General features: G+C 45.1%; 1 protein-coding gene across 17 annotated transcripts in view, besides 2 other annotated features; it reads left to right on the forward strand.

Moving 5' to 3' along the window:
• The window catches only part of PALM2AKAP2 (PALM2 and AKAP2 fusion), a 531,726-nt gene that overhangs the window by 481,459 nt on the left and 31,722 nt on the right, over window positions 1–18,545 (forward strand). For 15 of the 17 annotated variants that reach the window (XM_047423410.1, XM_047423411.1, XM_047423414.1 and 12 more), the window contains one exon: window positions 13,882–16,294. In XM_047423410.1, coding sequence (XP_047279366.1) covers window positions 13,882–16,294 — 2,413 coding nt within the window. Of the gene's footprint in view, window positions 1–3,255; window positions 3,352–13,881; window positions 16,295–18,545 lie in introns of those variants that run through there. The other 2 variants (XM_047423420.1, NM_001136562.3) reach the window with 1 other exon arrangement.
• Window positions 2,699–3,261: an enhancer, noted in NCBI's record as "H3K27ac-H3K4me1 hESC enhancer chr9:112887224-112887786 (GRCh37/hg19 assembly coordinates)". NCBI's record gives its function as "activates a minimal SCP1, AML or CMV promoter by ChIP-STARR-seq in naive H9 embryonic stem cells {active_cell/tissue: H9 hESC(naive)}" and the evidence as "EXISTENCE:reporter gene assay evidence [ECO:0000049][PMID:30033119]".
• Window positions 9,182–10,025: an enhancer, noted in NCBI's record as "NANOG-H3K27ac-H3K4me1 hESC enhancer chr9:112893707-112894550 (GRCh37/hg19 assembly coordinates)". NCBI's record gives its function as "activates a minimal SCP1, AML or CMV promoter by ChIP-STARR-seq in primed H9 embryonic stem cells {active_cell/tissue: H9 hESC(primed)}" and the evidence as "EXISTENCE:reporter gene assay evidence [ECO:0000049][PMID:30033119]".

An 18,545-nucleotide genomic window follows, 5' to 3' on the forward strand; every position in this document is an offset into this window, starting at 1 on the left:
TCAAACTCCTGGACCCAAGTGATCGATTCTCCCGCTTCAGCCTCCCAGCACTGGGATTTTACAGGTGTGAGCCACTGGTCCTGGCCTTCAGATTTTTTTCTTTTATTTGCATTAGCCCAAACGCTTCTTGGGTCTGCTCCTTCCTGAGCTGCCTGGTGCGGCTTCTATGAGCACTGCTGCATTTTGGGGATTCATGGCTTCTAGCCAGAGCTCTGTTCCTAACCAGCGGGATGACCCTAGGGGGTAGGTGGCTGCCATTGGCTGGGGTCTGCCCCTCTGCAGAGTGCATGATAATCCCCACTTTGCCATTAATGGGAGGATTAAATAGAAGGTATAGAAGGGTATGTGGCACAGACAAGGCACACAGTAGGAGCACCATAGATATTGGCTGCGTGATGATCATAATGGTATCAATTGTCTTTAAACCCCAGTGGCTAGACTTTCATAAATTGAAGTTTACTTCCCAGTCAACCAGGACCAAGTTTCAAAATGGCTTCTTTTCCCCCAGGGCAAGGCACCCTCAGAAACTAACGAAATCAGGTTACGGCAAAACAGTGCAAATTTATTTTCAGAAAACCCACCCCAAGCTCAGAGTCTACACTTAAAGGGTGTAGAGGTGTGAGCTGCAGCTAGACGTTACCTGCTGGATTCTACTCTGGTCATTTCTCTCCAGAGACTCCACTGTCATCAAGTGTGGGATGGCTCTGTTTATGCTTTTGCAGCCTCAGCCTAGCTTGCTGGTTTTTCATGTCTCCCTCTGCCTCTGAGTATAATCCACTTTTCTGGAGTACCTAACTGTGACTTTGCCATAGAGTATTTATCTAACCTCAACCCTATTTTTGCAGCTTGGGTTGAGGGGAGACTCAGGCAACTGTGTGAATGTGTGTGTTTTTGTGTGCATGCACAAATACAAATGCATGGGTGTGTATGTGTGAGTATATAGATTAGTTTGTTAGGGTTGCCATGACAAGGTATCACACATTGGTGGGGGGAGGCTTAAACAACAGAAATTTATAGTCTTACAGTTGGGAGGCTAGAAGCACAAAATCCTCAGCAGAGTTGGTTCCTTTGGAGGGCTGTGAGGGAAGGATCTGTTCCAGGCCCCTCTCCTTGGCTTATAAGTAGTTGTGTTCCCTCTATGCACATCTCTGTGTCTACATTTCCTCTTATTCTAAAGACCCTAGTCATACTGGATTAGGGCCCACCCTGGTGACCTCACTTAAATGTGATTACCTCTGTAAAGACTGATCTCCAAATAAGGTCACATTCTGAGGTCCTTGGTGTTAGGAGTTCAACATAAGAACTTGTGGAGATGACTCAAGTCAACACACAACAGTGTGCCTGTGTGTGGGTGGAGCATATGTGTGTTTGTGTGTGTAGTGGACTCTGGCGTCTCTGAGACACCAGGTCATTTGCAAACCTACTCCTTGGAAAATAGTACTTTAAGAGCACATACAGTTGTCTCTTGTGAATAGGGCAGATTTAAAACCTTTTTCTAAAACAAATCTTCCCATGGGTGTGGAGGGGCAGGTGTGGTAATGGAGTGGGTCCCGGGTGCCCCTCTTGCATCGCTGGTCGAGGGCACTTCATAATGGAAAGTCCTTCCCTGGTTCTTCATTCTCAAGCAGAGCAATGCCATTGGCATGTGATTTCTGCCTCATTTTACTTCAGATGACTAAGTAGCATCTTGAAGTGCCTTTGGCTACACAACAGAACATTCCAATTATTCCACAGGGCAGCATAAATTCGGAGTTCCCTTGGAGCTCCCTGGTGACTTGATACCACCAAGTCAGTCATTGAGGAACTCCCCAATATTTCTAAATAAATTTGGAAAATGTTTTTAGCATATGGAAAATGTTGTTTAGATGCTGTAAATAGTTGTAAAGTCTACTTTTAGCCTCCTTTTCAAAAGAGCCTTCCTGGGCTCCATCTACTCTGATTATCCCTTCCTTGACTCGTGTGCTTGGGAGGGTCCCAGGAGGACTGCTATGCTGGCTGGTGTGCAGACCACAGGTGAACCCTGTTGCATCTTTCAGCTGCTCACCAGGACAAACTGCTCTAAAACTGACCCCAAATGAGCTGGCCCCACAGAACCATGTGTAGCGTTTGTCATCTTTCCCCCAGTTTACTGTAAATCTCAGTTCTCTTTGACCTCTAAAATCTTACTGAAAAAGTGAGTACTTCATGGTACTGAACTGACCTGGAATTCTGACTGACTTTCTAGTTCTGCCCGTAAGTTATGCCCTAAATTTTCCAGGTCAATGTAGAGTTCCAGGGAACGAGGTGGACGGAATCTGGAGGCAGAGTTGAGCCAGTGGGTGTTATCAGGCAGGGGGCACTGATAAACACGCCAACTCCCTGTTAGACTTAGTGTAGTGCTGGGGGCCCTATTCTGAGGTGACACTGATGTCTCTACTCAAGGCAAATGCACATCTGTTTTCTTGATGGCAGAGGACTGTTGTTAGCCATGGGATGGTGCAGCCACTTCCTCCAGATATTCCTTGAAATTAGAGCACTCATCTCAGACTTCAGATGCATCTGTCCACTTTGGCATGGACTATAATGTAGCCACTTAAAACATATCTTACAAGGGCCATTAAATAACATAAAAAGTGCTTGTGAAATGATATGAGTAAAAAAAAAGTTGGCACAGAATTGCATTTACTGTCTGGTCTCAATGATATTAAATATGTATTTCTGAGAAGATGACAATGGAATGAAATAAAATATTAACTTTTTTTCTGATTGGAGGGGTAATGAATATTTTTTATTTTCTAAATGTTCTGTGGTGAGCATTTGTTATCACACACAGACACACGCACACATGCACATACCACATGCATGTACACACGCACAAGCACACACCACAGGCTGTCCTGAAAAGTCTGTCTAACTGGAGATTTCTCCAGGGTCTTTCAGATTTTTTGCTGCCTCAATACCCCTGGGATATCAATTCCCTGCTTGTCCCAGGGCCCACCTCTGAATTGCCGAGAAGACAGTGGTAGCTGATTCACATCAATGCTAACTGATTCACCTCAACGCCGCCAGCTCCTGCCTCCCTGCTCAGCCTTGAGCGTGACAGGAGCAGGCCGGGCCTGCTCTGGCTGGGAATGCCGCTGCCCTCCAGCTCCGGCCAGCCAGGGAGGGGCCAGGCCTCTCCGAAGGAGGTTAAAGTCCTTCTTTGTGTGAATGGCCTTTTAGGGAGCAGAGGGAGGGCCCACGGTGACATCACAGTCTTCCGTCAGGAGGCTCAGGAGGAATTTGTCCAGCTTGAGCCAGGGTGCACGCAGGAATCTGTCTGGAAAAAGGCAGTTCTCACTGAGGAGGTTTGAGGCGCGCGCTCTGGGCAGGGTAAGCCAAGTCTGCTGACTTATCTTCGTGTCCTTTTCTTTCTAATTTGAAAGGACAGGGGTCTTTTTTTGAGGCCAGTGTCTTTATGGAGGAGGTTTTCTGAGTGTGTCATGTGCTGTGGAGTCCTTTCTTGCTGGAGAGTAGGCAGCCGAGCTCAGACTGGTGTCTTGCTTCTCTCTCTCTTTTTTTTTTTTTTGCAAATCTTGTAAAACTCTCAGCTTTTGTGCTAAGAGGCAAAGAGGACGCTCAGTCCTGCACATATAGTGCAAAGCTATATGAGTCGTCTGTGGCAGATCACGCTTTGAAGATGGTGCAAGTGTGTCTGTGAGAATCTGTGTGCCCTTTTCCAGAACAAAACCAAGTGACTCGGTGATTCTGTCGCCTCGTTTCTTAGCCATCTAGCATTTGTTCAAGAGACTCAGTCTTGTGGTCTACAGCTAGCCTTCTGTTTCCATGCTGTGGAACTCACCACATTCACAGGGTGGCCTGGGGGAATATGGTTTTGGGGGGAATGTGTGGTGCTTGTCTCTTGGAGGTCCCATGGGTATGGAAGGAGACCCTCGCCAGCTTTGTTCATAGGCACAGAATCATCTGTAGACAGAGGGTTAACCACAAATGCATCTGGCACTGTTTTCTCTTTTCTTGGGGCTCTGCCTCAATATAGTGGATTCTGCTGGTCCACAGTGGTGTTTGGCTTTTGATCTCTGCCATGACCTGCTCACCAGGCGTGAACCCAAGATCTGGAACTATTTTTAAACCAAGAGGGACACAGCAAATTTATAAAGAACTGAAAAACTAGGCTTGCTTTTGTCTTTAGCAGAATCGGTTACCCTAGAAATCTCACCTTGCAGGAGCCAGAGTTCCCTCTGTGGCCTTGAGCTTGGTTTATTCTGGGGTAGGGACTACCTTGCAAAATAATCTCCAGTGAAAAGGGCCTTTGGTGAGAAGAGCCTCCGAGGGCTCCTTGATAGGGCGCTCAGTATCCCTCATTGAGGAAAACATGAAACTCACATCTCTCCTTATTCACGGGAAACCCGGAAGCCTCTCAGTCACTCCTGTAAGAAGTGGGTCTCCAAGTAACGGAAAGAAACAACCCTTTCATCAGCTGCTGCAGAAAAGGCAACAGCAGCTTCCTTCCTTTCCTCCCCTCCCCGCTGCTGACCCCCACCACACACACTGTCTTCAGTTTCTTTCACAGAAAGCCCAAGCTGTAAATATATTCATCAAATAACACCTTAACATTTTCCAGATGTGATTGGAGCCACTGACTTTTCAGCAGGGCTAAGAGGAGGATTGTTCATAGGCTAAGCTATGGTGCTGGGGGAGACTCCGTTCTATGAGAAATTGACCAGTCTCCTTCACTAGGAATGTGGGTCAAGACACAGGGAAGCCTTGTTTCCAGTGAAGGGGTGGGGAGTTCCAGAAGTATTTTCATCCCGTCTTCAGACCTGTACCTGAGGCATAAGACAGAGAGAATAGCAGAACAGTGATTACTCTTTTGACCAATACCGTAGAAGCTCTCAGAAAAAAAGGCTGGACCTGCAGGAGCAGGAACAGGACTCCTGGCCTCCAAAGGGTTGAGTTTTCTTTTTAGAACTGCCCTAGTCACATTGAGCTGTAATGGCTTCATGGCAGGAGATCCATGGAGGCAAACCAAGAAGTGTTTTTAGTATCTGCCCCTTTTAAGGCCCACAGCATTGACCCGAGCCTGCCGGGTCCAAATTTAGCCTGCGTTTGCCCCAGGAGTGCTTGAGGTCTGGAGTCTGGCCGGCTGTCTTCCATCAGCCAGGAGGGGAGGCTCTAGCCTCTTTAGGGAGTGGCTTAGTTCCCAGTTTCCCACAATCAACACGGGCCCCTAGTTCCACAGGCCGGAAGAAGCTCTGCTCGGGGGATGGAAGAGGAAAGCCTGCACAGGACTGGAATGTGGCCCAGGTTATCACCCGGGGCCTCTCCTCTCCTCCACTTCCCGCTTATAGGCTCGGCTTAGAGGCCCAAGTCTAACCCTCGCAGCAAGCAGTTCCCAGACTTTCCTGCTGTCAGTGCCTTCAGGGGAGGGTGGAACGGCCCACTCGGAGTCCCAGCTCCTTCTCCTTCCTGTCGTCGTTAGCAGGGAGGGCCAGAGGAGGTGCAGCCAGCCTGCTTAGAAACTTTGGTGCACCGCGCTTTCTTCAATTCTTTTTGCCCGGCACAGTTTGCGCCGTTGAAGAGGGCTGGAAGTTTATTTCCAGCTATTGCTGCAGCACTTCCTTCTCCTAGTGCTGTTCGTTCTTCTTATGGGAACTGGTACTCACTCCCTCCAAGTCTGTGAGCGTCTTGCTGGGGATGGCGGATCACCTTGGAGCTCTGAGGACCTCGCACGGCCCAGGCTGAGAGCATATAGCTCTGCAGGGTCCCAGGATATGCTTATGGATCCAAGGTAGTGTTGACCTGTTCAACTTCTGTTCCCTTCCTTATGCTTCGGGTTCCCTCGGTTTGGGGAGTTAGCCTCCCCCAGACCTCCTGACTGCAGCTTTGCCTGGTTTGTCCAAAGCTGATGAGGTTCAGCTGATGTGGGCATCTTTTAGGTTTCTGGGCATCATCCACCAGCCAGGTGCACTTCCTTCCATCCCACCCTCACCCCTTCTGCATTTGCCTTCATGCTGGAGACATCCTGACTTAGCCAGAAAGTTAAAAATTTAGGAAGAACCTCTCTAAAGATAGCCACACATAGCTCGTGGAACCAGTTCTTCATCATGATTGTCATTGCGTCCTGCGCACTGAAAACGTGACTTACAAAAGAGAGGCAGGATGAGAAGGGAAAACGGAGATACTCTCTGATTTCACAGCTATGAGGAAGTTTTGTTTTATAGCCATGCCTCTGTTCCTAGGCCAAGAGTGAGTTTATATTTTTGGTGGAACTTATAAATAACTGGATTAAAGGATCGGGTCACCTATTATCTGGAGAAAAGCATTTCTAATTTAAATGTCATGGCTTTAGTAGGAAGTAATCTGGGTTATTCAAAGCAGAGAAACCTGGTTGTACAGCCTGATGTTTGAGTAATTTGGTTCACACTGTGCATTTAGGCTAGGAGCCTAGGAGGTCGAGATGGGTTAGGCACACTGTCGAGCTTTAACAGCCTGAGGATGGTGGGGCAGAGGGGAGGCTGTGAACACAGTGAACATTGTCCTTGTGGTGAAGGACACCTTTCTGCTCTCCGCCTGGGCTCAGGCAGACCTGCTAAGGAAAATGCACTTCCTTAAAGTTATTTCTGTCCATGACATGCCTAGCTGTAGGCCTAGGTACCCTGGGCAGAAAGAACACATGGGTGTCTATGCCCAGTGGGGCAGGGATCAGGGCCCTGCTGTTGTGTTTTCTGTGCAAATGTAAACAGGCTTCTAGAATCTCACTTGTGGTGTTGGTGAAGAGTTGCAGCCTTTTCCCACAGTGTCCATCATAATGACATGGACATGGGATCTTAATATTTTACCTCTGGCAAGTGGCCAGAGGAAACAGAACCCCTTCAGAGACCAGCCCAGAGGGTGAAATCCCCAGACCGTGCAAGAAGTCACATTTCTAGCTGACACGTAGAGCAACAGATACGTCTCCAGAGAGTTAACTCTCCAGGGAGTTCATCTATTTCTGACCAAGACTGAATAAAGAAGGTAAAGGGATCATCGACTTTTAAAGCTAAATTGTGAGTCTCACATCATCTGTAGAGATTCAAGCAAGCAAAAGATCAACCAAAAAGCCAAGCTAACTCTGTTTTGATCCATCCACTCTTCTTACCATTTCCCATGTCATTTTAAAAGCCTCCTAATATTGAGACTCCATTTTGATGTATCAGGATAGAATGAGAAGAACCCACCTTCAAATCCTGGCTAGGGCACTTACTAGGCAGGTGATCTTGGGAAACGTCCCTCTATTTCTCTATACCTCTTATTCTGAAGTTTTAAGACTGAAATAAAATTCATGCCTTTCCCACTTAACAGAGGGCCATTTTTCAAGCATCAGCTGACATATGTATGTGCATGTACTGTGAAATGATAAGCTATTAGACATGTGTCAACCAGAAAATGGGGATGCCACACTTACAGCATGCCCACAGGACAGGCTTGTCAGGGCTGTCTCATTCACTTGTACATTTACTTGGCTAGTTGAGTTGTGGAGATGGACCAGGTTCTGTTTTAACCAATGTGTGACCCCTCCTCTGCTTCCCATGTGACTGGAGCCCCAGGTCTGGGTGGTTCTTGACTGCTCATTCTACTTACTGCATTTCAGGACTTAACTTTTAAGGACATTTTGTGAAATTACTCCCTCTGTTGCAGCACAACTGTATCTTCCTAGTCGTGTTCAGCTTCAACTAAAATTCACATGTAAGGATCTGGGGTTGGGGAAAGATTAGGGAGATTAGAGCTGCCATAGATTCTGACTTTGAGTCTTTCCCGGGCCTTTTTTCTTTCATCTTTTCTTCTTGATTTCTTTTCTTCTAAAAATCTCCTGCTCTTTTCCCAAAAGAAAATCAGTCTGCTGCCAGAAAGAATATAATACCTGTCATTTAAACCTCAGTGTAAAATGGCTTAATAATAGTGAACATTTGCATTAACCGTTTTACAGTTTACATAGTACTTTTAAGTACATTTTCTAACTTAATTCTCAAAACAGATTTGGGAGATATTATTAGTCCTGCTTATGAAGGAGTTCTGTTCTCAGCAGAATTCCATAATTACAAAAAGTCTGGTAGGACTTTTATAGGTAGAGCCAAGAAATGACCCCAGACTCTGGTCTTTGGACGCTAAACTCTGAATTACCACATTTCCTGCATTCTTTAGGTGGAGACATAGGCACCTGTGTTGTAAATTAAGCCACGCTAATTTGCTTTGCAAAACTATTAAACACTTTTTGGTAAATAAAGGCGACTTTAGTTGCAGCCTGGCTACCAGGTTATGTTAAACACAGGTCTCTGGGACCAAATTCTGGCACTCATACAGACTTGAGTTGAATAAACATTTATAAAAAATGCTATGAGGAAATCTCAGCTCCCTAAATTTCTAGATGCTCCAACCCCACCTTGCCTGAAGACAGATGTGGCAACTTTATGAAGACAGGATTCTGTTACCATTTTAGTGGGTGGTAAGCAACCGAAGTCCCCTGAGCCAAAGGCTAGAAACAAGATCGTTTAGTTTTCAAACCTCAAACACCATCCCTAAGGGTGTATAAACCAAAGGGTTCGCTCTATTGGCATATCCCCTTTATGAAAGGGTGAGGAAGATCTCTAATCCACAAATTTGAACACCACCAATTTCACGGATTTCTAACATTCATTATGCTAATTGACAGGCCACTAATTTCACTAATGAAAACCTATTTCTCACCTTAATTATGCCAATTAGCAAAGCTTCAGGGGTTCTTGGGAGTTAAAGGGAGCTAAGTACTGGAGGAAGCCACCTGTGGGGCGTGGGATCTCTCATTGGATCCTAGATGACCATCCCTTGAGTTTATATTCCCATTTAGGATGGTTGTCAGACCCTGGAATGTAATTTAAACTAATTCCAGAAGCACACAGCTGTATTAAATTGCCCCGATCAAGTATGTGAAAGTAAATGGTAGGCATCCTAACCAGCTGTTAACTATTCTAGAATTTAGTGGGAAGGGCAGGTTTCTGTGTCGTGGTATTAGGGCTCTACCTGGAGGGTGAACTGGGCCGATCTAAAAAGCTCCCACAGCCCCTTTGCACCTTAGTTTTTCTCTGACCTTAGAAAACCCAGTTTGATGATTCTTTCATATCCTCCTGTTTTTGCATTGGGGCATAGTTCATTTCAAAAAGGACTTTCCTGGTGATTGAATGAATGTGCATCTTATCTGAATCTGGAATCACGTTCGCCTAATTTGAAGCATGGAGAAAATTCTGGACCTTCTTATCTTCAAAGAGAGCAATAAGCATTTGTTGGTTTAAACAAGACATCATCTGATGATACCAAGCCCAGATTCCTGCCTAATCCGGATAGGTTAGATTTCCAGCCCATTTCCATTTACCTGGTGTAGTTGCCAGTGGCTTTGATTCTATCAGGCCATCATGCATGAAGGCAAATTCTTACTGCTGACAGTGGAACTCAGGAATTCGCTCTTTTGTTATCATTGTTGTCTAACTTTACAAAACCTCAGGACCTCTGGTGCATGATTGTGAATCAGTAATTCAGAGTTGTTTATCTCTTTAAATACTTCCATGCCAATTAGAGGTTAAACCTGCTGCTTCCTGAGTAGATGGAATTGAGTGTCATGAAGAATTTTCTGAATTTATGGGGAAAGGGGGACTGGATGCCATATAGCTCACAAGAAGGAGGGCCTCTTTCCTGTTTACACCCTCCAGTGTCTAGAGGTTTAAAAAAATGTATCGGAAAGGAATCATCCCAAATTACACTGGAACCCCCAAACTTTGACTTTTAACAAGTAACTAGCGTGTGTGTGTGTGTGTGTGTGTGTGTGTGTGTGTGTGTGATGGAGTTTCACTCTTATTGACCAGGCTGGAGTGCCGTGGCATGATCTCGGCTCACTGCAACTTCCTCCTCCCAGGTTCAAGCAATTCTCCTGCCTCGGCCTCTCAAGCAGCTGGGATTACAGAGGCACCTGCCACCACGCCTGGCTAATTTTTTGTATTTTCAGTAGAGATGGGGTTTCACCATGTTGGCCAGGCTGGTGTCGAACTCCTGACCTCACCTCAGGTGATCTGCCTGCCTTAGCCTCCCAAAGTGCTGGGATTACAGGGGTGAGCCACCGTGCGGGCTTCTTTTTTTTTTTTCTTTTTGATACCAAGCCTCACTTCCTCACCCAGGCTGGAATGCTCCAACTTCTGCTCTCCGGGTTCAAGAGATTCTCTTGCCAAATAGCTAGGATTACAGGTGTACACCACCATGCCTGGCCAACTTTTGTATTTTTAGTGGAGACAGGGTTTCACCATGTTGGTCAGGCTGGTCTCAAACTCCTGACCTCAAGTGATCCACCCACATTGGCCTCCCAAAATGTTGGGATTACAGGCGTGAGCCACCACACCCAGCCTTTTTTGAGACAGTCTCACTTCCTCACCCAGACTGGAATGCAGTGGCACTATCTTGGCTCACAGCAACCTCCGCTCTCCAGGTTGAAGCGATTCTCATGCCAAGTAGCTGGGATTACAGGTGTACACCAACCACCATGCCTGGCTAACTTTTGTATGTTTAGTGGAGAGGAGGTTTCACCATGTTGATCAGGCTGTTCTCAAACTCCTGACCTCAAGTGATCCACCCACCTTGGCCTCTCAAAGTGCTGGGATTACAGGCATGAGCTATTATTGCACCCTGCCAACTAACTAGCATATTTTAAAATCTCAGTTTGACCGATCACAGAAGACATAACTACTTGTAAAATAATTTCTGATTCAAAGATAATGGCAGTTTTGTATTTTTTTTCAAACAATTGCAAAAGTATATTGTCAAATTGTTGTCTTAGATTTTAAATATTTGGTACCAAAACAACTATTTCTAGTTCAAAAAGGGTGCCTTGGAAAGAGCTGATACAATTTTTGAATCCTAAAAAGAAAACGTGGAAAGTCATCTGCTCATTCATCATCGAGCACTTGAAGTGTGAAACATTCAACAGAAAGGGATAATGCTGATGTGAGGAGCGGAAAAGTGTTCTTGGGAAATGGCTTTGGAGATAAGCCCCATCACTCCTTCCTCTGTGATTAGCAACAAGAGACAAAGAGAAGCAATTTCTTCACTTGCCTGATTCAGACTAAGAAAACTCTAATATAGACTTAGGGCTTTCTTGGAAGTACAGAGAACTCATTTTTTTTTTAAAGGGTGTTGTCTTCTGGAGCTTATTGTTGCTGCTAATTTCATTATGACCCTGCAGAATAACCTCCCCTCATGTTTAATGAACGGATTAATTAATTAAACTATAGAACTAATTATTTGCCTTTTAGTTTCCTTTACTATTACGTTGCCCTTCTTCCTCTCCTCAGGTATTCTAAAGCATCTTGTGTTTCAGGAGAGCAGTGTTTTCTAACCATATTTCAGTCCTACCAGCTTCCTACTGATTTCCCACTACCCTCCGCCCACCCCGGCCCCCAAGCCAAAAAGGATAGAAGGAGAGCTCTGTTGTTCCCATGCAGAATATTAGCAGTGAGTCATTGGCCAAAAGAAGCCAGGGGTGAGGGTGCCATAGGTAATCTGACTCATCTTAGCAGTACCGTGAATCTCTCTTTGTTTGTCTTCTTATTTCAATAATAATTTTCCATGGAGTGGGCTAATTTTGGCCTAGGTTTACTTGAAATTGAATGGCAGCCAGTAAGTTTCAGCATTCAAATTTTGTGTAATGCTTAATGATATATGAGTAGAAGTTACTGACAATGTCTCATCCAACAAAAAGTTTAGTTAATAGTTTTAAAAGGGCTGGCCATGCAGGGTGGCTCATGCCTGTAATCCCAGCACTCTGGGAGGCCAAGGCTGGACTGCTTGAGTCCAGGAGTTTGAGACCAGCCTGGGCAACATAGCGAGACTCTATCTCTACAAAAAATTTTAAAAATTAGCCAGGCATGGTAATGCCCACCTGTAGTCCTAAGGGAGACTGAGGCAGGAGGATCCCATGAGCTCAGGAGTTCAAGGTTGCAGTGAGCTATGATCACATCACTGTGCTCCAGCCTGGGCAACAGAGCAAGAGCCTGTCTCTTAAAAAAAAAAAGGAAGGTGGTGGCAAAAACTACTATTTAATGATGGTCAAAAATAAAAAATAAAGATATTAGCAATTATAAATATTAATTGTGTTAAGTATCACTCCTTAACAAAGACCAGACCTAGACTGGAAGAAAATCAGAGAATGGAAGATGTTGACAAAAGAGGAACACTCATTATTTGTGCCTGTTAATGGAGAAGACATATACATTACTTGAATAATTTAAGTCTGAAAGGAAATGTGGAAAGTGAAGAGTGAAGGAAACCCCCCAGTTCATGGATAACTCAGAGAGTTTTTCAACATTCTGACAGCAGTGTAGAGCACTTACGATGAACTCCAGTGTTTTCTTAGGTCTCAAGAACAAATCCATAATTATCCACTTTTTTGGGAAGGATTTTGAAATTAATTTCCTGAGAATCGTCCTAAGGTGGTGTTTTAATATTCTAAGCATTTAAAATTGTTGAAACCTTAGATAAATGAAAATTACACTCTCTTGCAATTTTGCATTGTCCTATGTCAATAATACCAGGCACATTATAAACTTGAGACAGGGAAACAAAGCCAACCTAGGTGTTGTAAGGTCCTTGATGGTAACTCAAATTAAGTTTATACTTTACTGGAATTCTTTGAGATAAGCCAGAGTCCTTTGATATGAAAAAGAAAATCATCTTATAATTTGAAAATTAATGTTTCTAATGCCAAATAACAAAATTACATAGGCTAGATAACTGGTAGAAAAATAAGATGGATGGGTTGGGTGTGGTGGCTCATGTCTGTAATCCCAGCACTTCGGGAGGCTGAGGCGGGCAGATTACTTGAGTACAGGAGTTCAAGACCAGCCTGGGAGACATGGAGGAACTCTGTCTCTACAAAAAAAAAAAAATATATAAATATATATATATATATAAATCAGCCAGGGGTGATGGCACACACCGGTAGTCCCAGGAGGTAGAGGTTGCAATGAGCCGAGATGGCACACTGCACTCCAGCCTGGGCCACAGAGCAAAATCCCATCTCAAAAAAAAAAAAAAAAAAAAAAAAAGCCCTCAAGACAAAAAACCTCCTTCCTTAAAAAAAAAAAAAAAAGAAAAATATGATGGGTTTTAAAACATTAAGAAGATAGGGTTTTCTTATTGAATCACAAACTGAAGATATCACATATAAAGCAGTTAAAAAACTGGAGGAGAGGTACCATTGGCCATTAGTTTTTCAAAGCAGTGCTGACTTCTTAACTAAAGAGTATTATTTTGATGCAATCCCAGAAAACAGAGCTGTGCAGTCAGTGGCTTTGGTGATGGTGTTCATAAGGCACATGGTCAATTACAGCCATGGCAGTGAGGCACTGTAGCCTGTGTGCTGCCATTAAAGGGATCTACTGTTTTCCAGTATTTTATTCTGCAAAGATTTTCCAAAAAGTTTCTTGTCTCCAGAATAACTGCATTACATCTGGCAGAGAGTCATATGTTTTAAAGATCTGTTCATACAAAAGGACCTTCTTTTTGCAATCCTATTAATAGTCGTATTGCACAGCCTGCAATCATTTGCCGCAAAATACTTGGGAAGACTCTGGTACAATAATGATGTAATCTCTTCCACCTTAGTAGATAAAATTTAAAAATGGCACTAGCATGTAAACAAAATGGAATCCATAAATTAGAGAGGATTGGGCACCTGTTACTACAAGAAAATGAACATTTAAGGGATTATTAGAAAATATCTATTCAAAAGAATTTGTCACTGTGGTTTCCATTTTCCTTCCTCTTAATTATGAGTCAGTTTGTCAGCATTCACATCCATAAGAGATGCAGTATTTAACCCTGACTTTTGTTTACTCTTTATTCCAGAAGCCTCCCCAGCTTTCTGAGGATGATATCTGGCTAAAAAGCGAGGGAGACAACTATAGTGCCACCCTCCTGGAGCCTGCTGCCAGCTCTCTTTCCCCAGATCACAAAAACATGGAAATTGAGGTGTCTGTTGCAGAATGTAAAAGTGTTCCTGGAATCACCTCTACCCCACATCCCATGGACCATCCCTCCGCTTTCTATTCACCCCCGCATAATGGCCTCCTTACTGATCACCACGAATCCCTGGATAATGATGTTGCCAGAGAGATCCGCTATCTAGATGAGGTGCTAGAGGCCAACTGCTGTGATTCTGCTGTGGATGGAACGTACAATGGAACATCCTCCCCAGAGCCTGGTGCAGTGGTTCTGGTGGGCGGCCTAAGCCCCCCTGTCCACGAGGCGACCCAGCCAGAACCCACTGAAAGAACAGCTAGCCGGCAGGCACCTCCTCACATCGAGCTCAGTAATAGCAGCCCTGACCCCATGGCAGAGGCAGAAAGAACAAATGGCCATTCCCCCAGCCAGCCTAGAGATGCGCTGGGGGACAGCCTGCAGGTGCCTGTCAGCCCCAGCTCCACAACCAGCTCACGGTGTTCTTCCCGAGATGGAGAGTTCACTCTCACCACACTGAAAAAGGAGGCCAAGTTTGAGCTGCGTGCCTTCCATGAGGACAAGAAGCCCTCCAAGCTCTTTGAGGATGACGAGCATGAGAAAGAACAATACTGCATTAGAAAAGTGAGGCCTTCAGAGGAGATGCTGGAGCTGGAAAAGGAGAGGAGAGAGCTCATCCGCAGCCAGGCCGTCAAGAAGAATCCTGGCATTGCAGCAAAATGGTGGAATCCCCCGCAGGAAAAAACCATCGAGGAGCAGCTGGACGAGGAACATCTGGAGTCGCACAAAAAGTACAAGGAGCGCAAAGAGAGAAGGGCACAGCAGGAACAGTTGCTGCTGCAGAAGCAGTTACAGCAGCAGCAGCAGCAGCCCCCATCGCAGCTCTGCACAGCCCCTGCCTCTTCTCATGAACGCGCAAGCATGATTGACAAAGCAAAGGAGGACATTGTCACAGAGCAGATAGATTTCTCTGCTGCTCGCAAACAATTTCAGCTGATGGAGAATTCCAGGCAAGCGGTGGCCAAGGGCCAGAGTACACCCAGGCTGTTCTCCATCAAGCCTTTCTACAGGCCTCTGGGGTCAGTCAACTCAGACAAGCCACTGACTAATCCGAGACCACCTTCTGTCGGGGGACCTCCAGAAGACAGTGGTGCCTCAGCCGCCAAGGGACAGAAATCCCCCGGTGCCCTGGAGACCCCATCGGCAGCAGGAAGCCAGGGCAACACAGCCTCTCAGGGGAAGGAAGGGCCCTACAGCGAGCCTTCTAAACGTGGGCCCTTATCTAAACTGTGGGCTGAGGATGGAGAATTTACGAGCGCCCGGGCTGTCCTCACTGTGGTCAAGGATGATGACCATGGGATTTTGGATCAGTTCTCAAGATCTGTCAATGTCTCCTTGACCCAAGAGGAGCTTGACTCTGGTCTGGACGAATTGTCGGTGAGGTCTCAGGATACCACAGTCCTGGAGACCCTATCCAATGATTTCAGCATGGACAACATCAGTGACAGCGGGGCATCCAATGAGACAACCAATGCCCTCCAGGAAAATTCACTGGCTGATTTTTCTCTGCCCCAGACACCACAAACTGACAACCCCTCAGAGGGCCGAGGAGAAGGCGTCTCCAAGTCATTTAGTGATCATGGTTTCTATTCCCCTTCCTCCACGCTGGGGGACTCTCCGTTGGTTGATGACCCCTTGGAGTATCAGGCTGGCCTCCTGGTGCAGAATGCCATTCAACAAGCCATAGCCGAGCAGGTGGATAAAGCTGTGTCCAAAACCAGCAGGGATGGAGCAGAGCAACAGGGACCTGAAGCGACTGTAGAGGAAGCTGAAGCTGCGGCTTTCGGCTCAGAAAAGCCTCAGAGCATGTTTGAGCCACCTCAGGTGTCTTCTCCTGTTCAAGAGAAAAGGGATGTATTACCAAAGATTCTGCCTGCTGAAGACAGGGCGCTCAGGGAAAGGGGGCCCCCCCAGCCACTGCCAGCTGTGCAGCCCAGTGGCCCGATTAACATGGAGGAGACCAGGCCCGAAGGAAGCTATTTCAGCAAGTACTCGGAGGCAGCTGAGCTGAGAAGCACAGCCTCCCTCCTGGCCACTCAAGAATCTGACGTGATGGTTGGGCCTTTCAAGCTGAGGTCCAGGAAACAGCGGACTTTGTCCATGATTGAGGAAGAGATCCGAGCAGCTCAGGAAAGGGAAGAGGAGCTGAAGAGGCAGAGACAAGTCTTGCAGAGTACGCAGAGCCCCAGGACAAAGAATGCCCCATCACTGCCCTCCAGAACATGCTACAAAACTGCTCCAGGTAAGTGAGGTGCCTCACATGAGAGACAGATGCCACAGCAGTCTGTTGTTGTTGATTCCAGCTCATGGGTTTCTATGTGGAGCCTCCTCTGTGTGTGTCTGGAATAAGTGTTGGGGGGACACTGGCATGAGAATTCCAGCATACAGGGACATGCAACAAAAGTGTCAAGAGTGTCCTCTAGAAGAACCCTGAGCTTGCATGGAGTTTGCCACTTTCCAGAGGATGCAATAGCTCCTTCTTTGTTGTTCTGCTTTGGCCTTGGTTTATTATAAAGAATTGTTCTCTTTTACTTGAAAGCCTGCCTCTTGTCTGAAGGAGAGGCTGTTTGTGGCATAGAACCAGAGTGGACCCATGTGTGGACTATGTTGGAATCAGTAGCTTGACCCTCAGTATCTAGTTAAACCCATCTGATTTGGGAGTTGTCCTCTACTAACTAACCCCTTCTGAATGCTGGTTTCCTTCCCAGCAATGATAGTCATGGCATGGCATTGCAGACTGGTCCATGCAAAATGCTTTTGTTCATCTTCCGTGTAACTGGGTTTTTCTTCTTAAGTCACCACAAAGCAACTACTTTGGAATCAGGAGTGGACGCATCTGTTCTTGTCATGTGACCCATTTGGAAAAGTTGAATTACTCTTCACAAAGGCAGGTCTTTAATCCCTTCATATTGCCTGGGTGGTCCCTTTTTTGAATACTTTGTATAGATGGTTGATGTTAATTAGAGTGCTAATTATTATTGCTACCATATGGATAACAGTGTGACCAGTTGTTTTTATTTTCCATGTGAATGTGATAGCAATCAGGGATCCACAGATCTTCAGCTATGGAAAACGCTGCTCAAAGCGTGGTCCAAGCTAGTCCAGGAATCATTTGCTACTGGTTCATTCTAAGTTCAGACATCGAGAGTAAGCATTTGAAAACTCCTATTGCAATGTGATATTGTCCTGAAATCCAAGCGTGGGATTTTTGTATTTTACAAAACTATTGCTTCATAATGGACTGGTGGGGAAAAACTGATGCTTCACCAGAGAAAATTTAAGAATCGTTACCCTAAAGGATAATTGTTGACACTTATCTTGGTCCATCCATATCTTAATCTTATCTTGACACTTGGCTTCCATCAAACCTACAATGACTCAAGGTCACTCTTCTCATTAACTTTTTAAAATTGGAAAGAATCTCCAACCTAAAGAAAAGTTCCCAAGTACAGTACAAATGTCTTTCTGTTTTGAATCATTTGAGAGTAAATTGCCAACATGATGCCCCATCACCCCCAATTTTGTAGACTGCTCCCTAATGTGGGTCTCTGATGTTTTCATATGATGATTTTCAGGTTGTGCATCTTTGGTAGGAATACCACCAAATTGATGCTGTGTTCTCACTGTATCCAAACAGGTAGCACGTGGTATTAGTTTGTCCCATTATGGTGACAGGTGTCAACTCTGATCACTTAATATTGATTATGATCACTCCATTGAGGGAGTGTCTGCCAGCCTTCTGCACAGTAGTTACTTTTTTCTTTTGTAATTAATATACATTTTGTAGGGCAATACTGTGGTATTCTGCAATTTTCACCCCATTTCTTATCAAACTTCATTTATTTATGTCGGTATGATCTCATGGATTCCTGTGATATTCAATGGATTCCTGTGATATTCAATGGATTATAATCCATTTCTTTTATTATTTTTATCCGCAACTTGTTCAGTTACAGCTCACGGGAGCCCTTTCTGGCTAACTTGTATGTCCTTTGGAGATGTCCCCGTTTTCCTTTGAATGCTTCCTCAATTTCTGGCATCGCAAGATATTCCAGTTTCATCTTATACTTTCCCAACCCTGAAATCGGTCGTCTCTCTGAAGAGCACTAGTTTCTGATGATGGAGAATGGTATTTAGAAACAAAGATCTGAGTGCTAGCTGTGCTCATTGTTATTGCATTGTCACTAGCCCCAGGCACTCTCAGTGGACAGAATTAGAAATTACACACATCTCTCTTGAAAACCATGAGTTTGCCCTGATGCTTTTTAATTCTTATTTAATAAAAAGTTCATTCATACTTTCTCCCTTTCCATATTTGTGACCACCTTCTTGACAAAAGATACTTAGTTTTTATTATCTGTAATATGTTTATTATTTAACTAGCCCTCCTTCCCCCACACTCCAGTATAACCAGTCTCCTGTTTTCCTCACCAAACTTGGGCTCCGACATCATTTTCCAGGTGGCCACTGCCACGACCCTTCACCAACACCCT

This window comes from Homo sapiens, chromosome 9 (assembly GCF_000001405.40).
Source record: "Homo sapiens chromosome 9, GRCh38.p14 Primary Assembly".
Classification (NCBI taxonomy): Eukaryota; Metazoa; Chordata; class Mammalia; order Primates; family Hominidae; genus Homo; species Homo sapiens.